The sequence below is a fragment of the Homo sapiens genome, chromosome 12 (assembly GCF_000001405.40).
Source record: "Homo sapiens chromosome 12, GRCh38.p14 Primary Assembly".
NCBI classification, from domain to species: Eukaryota; Metazoa; Chordata; class Mammalia; order Primates; family Hominidae; genus Homo; species Homo sapiens.
This window is the reverse complement of record NC_000012.12, coordinates 57896988-57906037: the sequence shown is the minus strand read 5'-3', so window position 1 is coordinate 57906037 and position 9050 is coordinate 57896988. Positions and strand designations below refer to the sequence as shown.

Below are 9050 nucleotides of genomic sequence, written 5' to 3'. Positions count from 1 at the left end.
TTACATGGCATTTACTCGCTTTATTGTATGACTTTTCTGCTACACCTTTAACTCTTTGAGGACAGGGCTTATTCATATCTAATTCATCCTTAAGTCCCTAACAGCACGTAGTACAGAGGCACATAGTAAAAACTCAATAAAATTTTATTGACTCATTTCTAAGATCCTTTCCAGCTCTAAAATTCTATGATTCAAAAACAGGATAAAGATATTTTTAATTGAGAATATGTCATAAAACTCCACCCCGCTCCACCCAAAATTATGAATTGGGATTGTCATATTTGGGGTTTTTGTCAATCTCCTGTGGGCAGCAGGCAGTAACTGCAGATACCATGCCAGCGTCGGTGCTGTCCTGGCTCCTCCCGGAGCCCCATCTGCTTTAGGGCATTAAGTAAACGTTGACTTTAACTGCCTTCCTTCCTGATCTGTATCTTTTCTGTAATCCTGAACAACGCAGGGCAAGGATTCCTACCTAGGGCGTCATACCACCTCTTGCCACGAGAGGACAGCAGGGAGCCCTGGCCTGTGTTAAAACCTTTCTGGCCACCAGATGGTTCCCAACACCACTTTGATGGAGGCCAGGACTTAATTTAAATCACGTGCACTCGACAATCGTTTTCCTTTATTCCCGCTCCCTGAAAAGTGAACTCTCTCCCACAGGTGAACACACAAATACCTGCCAATTGTCTAGAGTTTTTATGTTACTTTGCTTAGGAAGAGGAAATGTAGGAAGAGAGAGGAGCAACACTGAGAGCTTTTAAACATTGGCTAGAAAGAGAGGCTTTCTTTAGATTTTTTTTTTTTTTCGTGACAGGGTCTCTGTCACCCAGGCTGGAGTGCAGGCGTTAGCCACCGCACCTGGCCGCTAGTGGTGTTTTTATTAAGAAAATAACAAATAGACATACCTAAAAGCAAAACAAACAAAACCCCTTCAAAAAGTCCTGGACAGGCCGGGCGCGGTGGCTCACGCCTGTAATCTCAACACTTTGGAAGGCCAAGGCGGGTGGATCACTTGAGGTCAGGAGTTCCAAACCAGCCTGGTCAACATGGTGAAACCCCATCTCTACTAAAAATACAAAACAAATTAGCTGGGCGTGGTGGTGGGCGCCTGTAATCCCAGCTACTCAGGAGGCTGAGGCAGGAGAATCGCTTGAACCGGGGAGGCGGAGTTTGCAGTGAGCCAAGATGGTGCCACTGCACTCCAGCCTGGGCGACAAAGCAAGACTTCATCTTAAAAAAAAAAAAAAAAAAAAAAGTCCTGGGCAGAGAGGGTGAATCCCTTCATCATCAAATTATATTCCTGAAAGCCCAGCATTCTCACCGTGGCTCAAACAACCAAAATGAGAGGAGATGTGTTTGTGAACTAAAGAAAATCCGTGTAGGGGACAGTTTTGCTGTGCCTAGAAAAGTGTGTAGGCCAGGTGCTGTCACCCAAGCCCTTGTGGACTGGCAGGTGCGAAAAGAGGAGGCGAGATGAGGAAGCAAATCCTTCAAACCTGCTTCAAGGAAGATGCTTTGCCTTGATGGGCAGCAAATTCAAGAGAGGAGCTTTTCATGTTAGTTCTGGATAGACCTCTGGAATTTATATTCCCCTTAAATGCTTTTGGGCCCTCCCATTAAATATGGGTGGTCATCTTTTACCCCAAGGAAGAAATTTCCGTGAAAAACCAGGATGCACATCCAGATTGCATGAAAAGACTGCACTCGGGGTATCTGGTGTTTGCAATCAGCAAGAAAAACTATCCAGGGAGCCTCATGGCTATTTTTATTTTGTAGACCCCAGAAGAAAAAAAGTGCACACCCTGCTTTTCTTCTTTGTATACTGGTGCTTTCTCCTCAGTTAAAAGAAAACTGTTTATATCAAAGCTGATTATAGGAAGATTTTTGGGGGTTTTTTTGGCCATGTCATGAGGTGTTTTTTATTTTCAGTAATCGTGCAAATAATGTTCTTTAATGAAAATTATTTGTATGATTAATACAAAATTATTTGTATTAATTTTCATTACAGAAAATTATTTGTATTATTTTCATTATAGAAAATTATTTGTATGATTTTCCATTATAGAAAATTATTGTATGATTATTGAAAATAAAACACACCTCATGGCATGGCAAAAAAAAAAAAACCCTGCTATAATCAGCTTCTTCCACATGGCAGCTGGAGTCTGGAAGATGATGGGGTCGGGAATCCTCCAGGCTCTTAGGAAGTCTCACACCGCTTCTCCTGCTCAGCAGTCTCTTGGGTTGGTTGGCAGGGTGTTCTGCATCCCCATTTTCCTTAGCTTGGCCTTATGAAAGCTAGCGATTTCCTCCATGCCCAGTTCGTCTGCCATTTTCTTAAAACAATCCGAGGCGTCCTGCTCTGAGCCCAAGCTCCTGATGCTCCCGCTGGCATCACTGCAGCAAAAGACCTGTAGGAGGTATTTTTAACTCCAAAATAAATGTTAGTACCCAATCACCCACAGAATGTGTGTGACCTTCCCTGACCTGCCCACTAAAGTCAATCCCATATTATTCTCTGTCGCAGCACGTGTGTATGTCCCTCACAGCACTTACAACAGCTGTTTTTTGTTTGTTTACTTGTTTATTGATTATCCCTCTCACTAGACTGTAGGCTCTGTGAGGGCAGGCCCTAGGTCTGTTCACCACTCTTTCAGCTCTTAACAAAATGGCACAGAATGTGAATGTGGTAAGCAGTTGTTGGATGAGTAAATGAGTGAAGAGAAAGCTTAATGTCATCCAAATTGTACTGAATGCAAGACAGGGAAAAATGGAATCTTGGCTGGTTTCTCCATTGAACATTCTTTCAGGCATGAACAGGACTATTAAGTCTATTGCTCTTTTTCAATAGAGCCCAATTATAATTACTGTTAATTTACCTGTGTTCTCCAAGAGGGACTATTTAAGCCAATTATTGACATTAAAACATAGAAATATGAAATTTCACTGTTGAGATGGCAATCTATTTAAAATATGTTCTAATTTGACTCTTTTGTTATGAGGCTTTCCTGACAAATCTCCTTATAAAAGCCAAGCCTTCCCCTAATTGAGACTAATCATGGTAGAACCATTAGTATGCTGCAGACAACAGGGCTGAAGAGCGAGCTAGTCCCAGAGTTGAATCCAAGCTTGGCCACTGACAGCCCTGTGACCTGGAGCAAGTCAGCTTTCTTGAGCCTCCATCAGGGCTGCATGCCTGGTACAGGCCAGACCCTCAGAACTATTCCATTCCACCACTCTCACCACCAGCCAAGGGCAGCCAAGCTACACAAGGCACTTCAGAATTCCTCACCAGGGCATTAGTAACGTTTCACTTAAGAAATGAGAATGCAGGCCACATTCCTATTGCTCCAACTCAAACTTTCTCTCCCGTCTCTGTTTGTTTTACCCTTTAATAGAAGATGGGCTTCCACAGTGTACACACTCCCTACCCTATTGCTCCTACTTACACAGAACTACATTGCTCCTCCTGCCACTTCCACAAAGCCTCCAATTGCAGCTTTTTACATTCTTGTGCAACACAGCTAGTGTTCAAGGGCTAAAGAGGGCAAATGTGGTACAGAGGCTCAGGTTTTTCTAGTTCCATCATCAATGGCTTGCAGTGAGGAGATACACATGCAGCATGTAGCCACACACACAGCAGAAACAGGGTATATTTCTTTACTATTCAGAAAGCCTTCACAAATCAATTAGGAAAAAGCAAACTACTCAATAGAAAAATGAAGAAAACAGAAAAAGAAATGTAAAAGGCCAGTAGCCTGTGAAAATATGCTCAAGCTTACCCATAATTAAGACAGATCAAAACAGTGAGACACCATTTTCACCTATCAGATTAACAAAAATTAAAATCATTCAGGCCCAGTGTTGGCAGCAGTGTGGAAAACCAGGCACTCTTATACACTATTGACAGAAGTACAAGCTGAGCAATTAACAATATAAAAAATTTAAATACAAAACTCAACTATATTACATCAACTTCTGTTCATCAAAAGTCCACTCGTTTTAAAAGTGAAAAGATAGCCAAGCATGGTGGTGTATGCCTGTATTCCCAGCTCAAGGCAGGAGGATCACCTGAGCCCAAGAGTTCGAGGCTGCACTGAGCTGTGATCGCACCATTGTGCTACAGCCTGGGCAGCAGACTGAGACCCCGTCTCAAGAAAAAAAAAAGTGAAAAGAATCAACAGATGGGAAAGATATTTGCAAAACATTTAACTGATAACAGACTAGTAAGCATAATATTTAATGGAATTCTATAATCAATATGGAAAGGACAAGCACTCCAAAAGAAGAAAATGGGCAAAGGTAATTATCATAAGAAGAGATACGTATAGCAAAAAAATAAAATATGTGAAAAGATGCCTAACCTCACTAGTAATCAGAGAAATGTAAACCACAACAAGAAAGCATTTCACACCAATCAATTCCACAAAAATTAAAAGTTTGACAACAGCAAGTGATGGTGAGGAGGTGGAGTAACTGACTGTGGATAAGAGTGTAAATTACAATAACCACTTTGGAAAGACTTTTTTTTTTTTTCCTTTTTTTTTTTTCTTTTTTTGAGAGAGTCTCACTCTGTCACCCAGGCTGGAGGGCAGTGGTGCAGTCTCGGCTCACTGCACCTCCATCTCCTGGGTTCAAGCAATTCTCCTGCTTCAGCCTCTGGAGTAGCTGGTAGCTGGGATTACGGGCTCACACTGCCACATCCAGCTCATTTTTTTTTTTTTTTTTTTTTTTTGAGATGGAGTCTCGCTCTGTCGCCCAGGCCAGAGTGCAGTGGCATGATCTCGGCTCACTGCGAGCTCTGCCTCCCGGGTTCTTGCCATTCTCCTGCCTCAGCCTCCCGAGTAGCTGGGAGTACAGGCACCCGCCACCACGCCCGGCTAATTTTTTTGTATTTTTAGTAGAGAAGGGGTTTCACCGTGTTAGCCAGGATGGTGTCAATCTCCTGACCTCGTGATCTGCCCGCCTCGGCCTCCCAAAGTGCTGGGATTACAGGCGTGAACCACTGCGCCCAGCCAATTTTTGTATTTTTTTAGTAGAGACAGGGTTTCACCATGTTGGGCAGGCTTGTCTCGAACTCCTGATCCTCATGTGATCTGCCCACCTCAGCCTCCCAAAGTGCTGGGATTACAGGTGTGAGCCACCGCACCCGGCCTGGAGAATACTTCCAATCTCATTGAAGATTCTCATAATCTATGAACCAGTCAGTAATTCCACTCCTAAGCAAATGTCCTAGAGAAACCCCCACACATACACAATCAAGAGATGATGTGTACAAGAATGTTCATAGAAGCACTGTTTGTAACAGGAAAAAAACACTGTACAACTTTAATGTCCATTAACCAGAAAATGGATACATAATTATAGTATATTCATACAATTTGAAGTTATACAGTGAAAATAAATTTCCTTTAAAAAGGTATCAACATGGAAGAATCTCAGAAATATAATACTGAGGAAAAGACGATGCAAGTTTCAGCCAGGCACAGTGGCGCATGCCTGTAATCCCAGCTACCCGGGAGGCTGAGGCAGGAGGATTGCTTGAGGCCCGAAGTTCAAGACCAGCCTGCGCAACATAATGAGACTCAGTTGCCACAAAAAATGTGTTTTCGCCAGGCACAGTGGCTCACGCCTGTAATCCCAGCACTTTGGGAGGCCAAGGTGGGTGGATCACGAGGTCAGGAGTTCAAGACCAGCTTGGCCAAGATGATGAAACCCTGTCTCTACTAAAAACCACCAAAAAATTAAAATTAGCCAGGCACGGTGGCAGGCACCTGTAATCCCAGCTACTCAGGAGGCTGAGGCAGGAGAATCACTTGAACCTGGGCAGCAAAGGTTGTAGTGAGCCGAGATCACGCCACTACACTCCAGCCTGGGCAACACAGTGAGACTCTGTATCCAAAAAAAAAAAAAAATTGTTTTCATTAGCCAGGCATGGTGGCACAAGCCTGTAGTCCTACCTACTCGGGAGGCTGAGGTAGCAGTTCGAGCCCAGGAGTTAGAGGTTATGGTGAGCCATGATCACACCACTACCCAGCATGGGCAACAGAACAACACCCTGAATCACAATAATAAAAGATGCAAGTTTCAGAAGAATACATGCAGTAAAATATAATTTACGTAAAATGTTAAAACATTAAAAGCACTGTATAGGAATGATAAACACCAAATTCTGGATCCTGGTGTCCTCTAGGTAGAAGGGAAGGGATGGCAAGATCAAGGTTGTATAAAGCAGCATTCTGCTTGTGTTAACAGTGTTATTTTTTTAAGCTGCTTTTATTTTTTATGTCTATTCATCTGCCTTAAATAGTGTATATTTTAAAACTTAATGTATATATACTTTCATCTAATTCCATTGCCAGGAGTTTATCTTATGTAAGCATTAGCGTATGCGATAACTATCTGCAGAGCATTTTACCAATACTTGCCTTACTCAAATCATCATTCTAAAAACCACAAACTGTCTTTTCACCTAACAAGTTGTTTTTTTTAAGAAACTCATTCAAAAAGGAAATTAGGACCCAAAGCATATTAGCAGGGTGGGTTAGCATGCCCCAACCAGGGTGGTTCCCCGGCCGCTGTGACATCAGGTGCTGCTGTTCATCCTGCCTGCCTAGAGACAGTGCACCTGGCCTTCTGCCTTGCCCTGAGCTGGTGCCGCTCAGCTGGTTCACACTCATGCGGCTGAAAGCTGGGCAGAGTCGGGCTGTTGGCATCATCGCCAGGGTCAACACTTGGCTCACACAGAGGGCACACCTAGGGGTCTGTGAAGCCTTCTTGGGCTGGGGCCTGGCTTTCACAGTCAGGAAGTTTGTGGCTGAAAAGGAAAAGAATGAAGCTTAGTGTAGAGGGAGAGGCTCTGGGTGCTGGGTTACCCCACAAGGAAAGCCCCACTTCTCAGCCTGGCCTGGGGCTGGGAGTGGGAGCACAGCCAAGCAGTCGTGACTCAGAACCTCCCCACTGCACTGAAACCAGAACTGGGTTGCCTATATCTATTTTATTTGACTACCGAGTAAAATTATTTCCAAAAATAAAGGGCTACAAATAGAAGTTTAGAAAGCTCTGAGCTAGAGAGTACTGATTAGACATGTGGTTCTCAACAGAATAATAAAACTTTTTACAACCATTCTTCCATTTCTTCAGCTGTAGGGGGGAAAAAGGCCTGATAATACCTGCCTTCCCAAACCCTGCAGGGCTGCTGGAAGGATCCAGTGAGGTAATAGCCAGCTTCAGCTAAGAGGCCCTTAGGAAAAAAATTTATTATTTCCTTCCTTCATAATGGAGGGTATTTCCAGTTCAAATAATTGGTCATGCAAACAAGACCGTGTGTTTCTTCTAGAAAAAGAAGAAGGAGATGAAGAGGAGGAGGGGTAAGAAGAAAAACAACAACAATTTAAAAGGAGAGAAACTGTGTTCAGGTGGCTGCCATGAAAGGACATAGAGGGTGTGGCAGGAAGGGAAGTGTGGAAAGGAAGAACAGCTGGTGCTTGCCCTGCACCAGACACTGTGCAGTGTGTGAGATGCTTCAGACATTTCACATCGTCCTCACAGAAAGTAATGCAAGTGCTGTTAGTGCCATTTTATAGATGAGAAAACTGAGGTGCAGACAGAATAAACAACTTGGCCAAGGTCAGGCAGAGACACTTCGTGCCCAGGTTGGTCTGTCCTTGGGGTGTGAATATTCCTTCCACAGCCTTGCCAGCGGCTCCTACTCCTAAACGTGGGTGTCCCCTGGCCCTACTTCTCTTTCTCCCTTTCTGTGATCTCCCTGTAAGATCTGCAAGATCTCTTTCATCCCTTGAGTTATTTCCTCTGACTTCCAGCCCACTGGACATTTCCCAGTTAAGAGCCCATTGTCTTCACAAACGCCATCTCCAAAAGGAGCTCCTCCCCTGGCCACTGGCGCACCCCCCCCTCCACCTAAGGGCTGCAGGGCTGCCATCTTCTCCCTGCCATCCATGCTCAAAATCAACATCACCTCTGGTGATTTCTCCCCTTTGCTGTATACACAATCAATTATCTCCATTCTTTCTTCAAAATCTCTTATTTCTCGCTGTTCATTTTCACCTTTTCTCTTAACACCCCAGCACTGTGACCTTACGTCAGCCTGGTTCCTTGCAGAAGCCTCCAACGGGTCTCCATCAATGCTTCGAGTTTATTCTGCGCACTGCTGCCAGACTTCTGGTCCTTAAAAACACCCCCTTCATCATACCATTCACCTGCCCTCCCACCTCTGCAGGCTCGCCCACTGCCTTCACCAGATCAAGTCCACACTCAGCCCTGCACTCAAGGCCACCTGCACCTGGCCCCCCTACGGCTTCCCACCCTCATCCCCCACTCCTCCTCTCTCCAGTTCCTCAGTTTAGCAAAGGGATTACTCCAACATCATGCTCCTTTCTCCCCTCCTGACACATGCCGTCCATCCTCCCCCAGCTGCCTGTCCCCCTCCTGCCTTGCCTCTGGCCCACCTCTCAGTCAGGGCCTCCAGAGCCCTCTTCCCAAGGCCTGAAGGACTCATTATCTGTGCTGTTGATCAAGCAAGTAATTATGCACAGCCTTGTAACGCTCTTCTGTTTAGCCTGGAACAGGCATTGAAACTGACTAGTGCTATTTAATCTCTATATCTCGTGTCTGCCTCTATGTCTATATCTACATATCTCATCACCTAAATCCTATAAACCACTTGAAGGTGACGACTGTCTAAAAGGTCTTGGTTTCTCCCTACAGTGCCTAATAGGTAGATGATAGGTGCTGGATATATGTGTTGAGCTCGTTTTTCTTCTCACATAACTTAGCCTCAAACAAATAACCAGGGCTGGTCAGAACAGTAAGCATCACCCTTAGAAGTCTGCTCTTGGCCACCGCAAATCTGCCACCGGCCAGTTTCATTGTAACCCCTCAGCTCAGGGTCCCCCACGGGGATCGCTGGTCTCCAGAGTGATCGCTGACCGAGGCGAGGCGCTGGAGGCCGCCCCAGCTCGGCTCTGCCTGCTGATTTGGCGACCGGATTTCCATGCCCCTCCCTGGTCCCGAGCTAAAAGGAAACATCC

The 9050-nt window shown here is 44.8% G+C and overlaps 4 annotated features.

Moving 5' to 3' along the window:
* Window positions 378-672: an enhancer, noted in NCBI's record as "tiled region #14765; HepG2 Activating DNase unmatched - State 4:PromP, and K562 Activating DNase unmatched - State 8:EnhW". NCBI's record gives its function as "activates a minimal TATA promoter and a strong SV40 promoter by Sharpr-MPRA in HepG2 and K562 cells {active_cell/tissue: HepG2 | K562}" and the evidence as "EXISTENCE:reporter gene assay evidence [ECO:0000049][PMID:27701403]".
* Window positions 6497-6576: an enhancer, noted in NCBI's record as "active region_6566". NCBI's record gives its function as "activates an Ori minimal core promoter by ATAC-STARR-seq in GM12878 lymphoblastoid cells {active_cell/tissue: GM12878}" and the evidence as "EXISTENCE:reporter gene assay evidence [ECO:0000049][PMID:35858748]".
* Window positions 6737-6956: an enhancer, noted in NCBI's record as "active region_6565". NCBI's record gives its function as "activates an Ori minimal core promoter by ATAC-STARR-seq in GM12878 lymphoblastoid cells {active_cell/tissue: GM12878}" and the evidence as "EXISTENCE:reporter gene assay evidence [ECO:0000049][PMID:35858748]".
* Window positions 7557-7606: an enhancer, noted in NCBI's record as "active region_6564". NCBI's record gives its function as "activates an Ori minimal core promoter by ATAC-STARR-seq in GM12878 lymphoblastoid cells {active_cell/tissue: GM12878}" and the evidence as "EXISTENCE:reporter gene assay evidence [ECO:0000049][PMID:35858748]".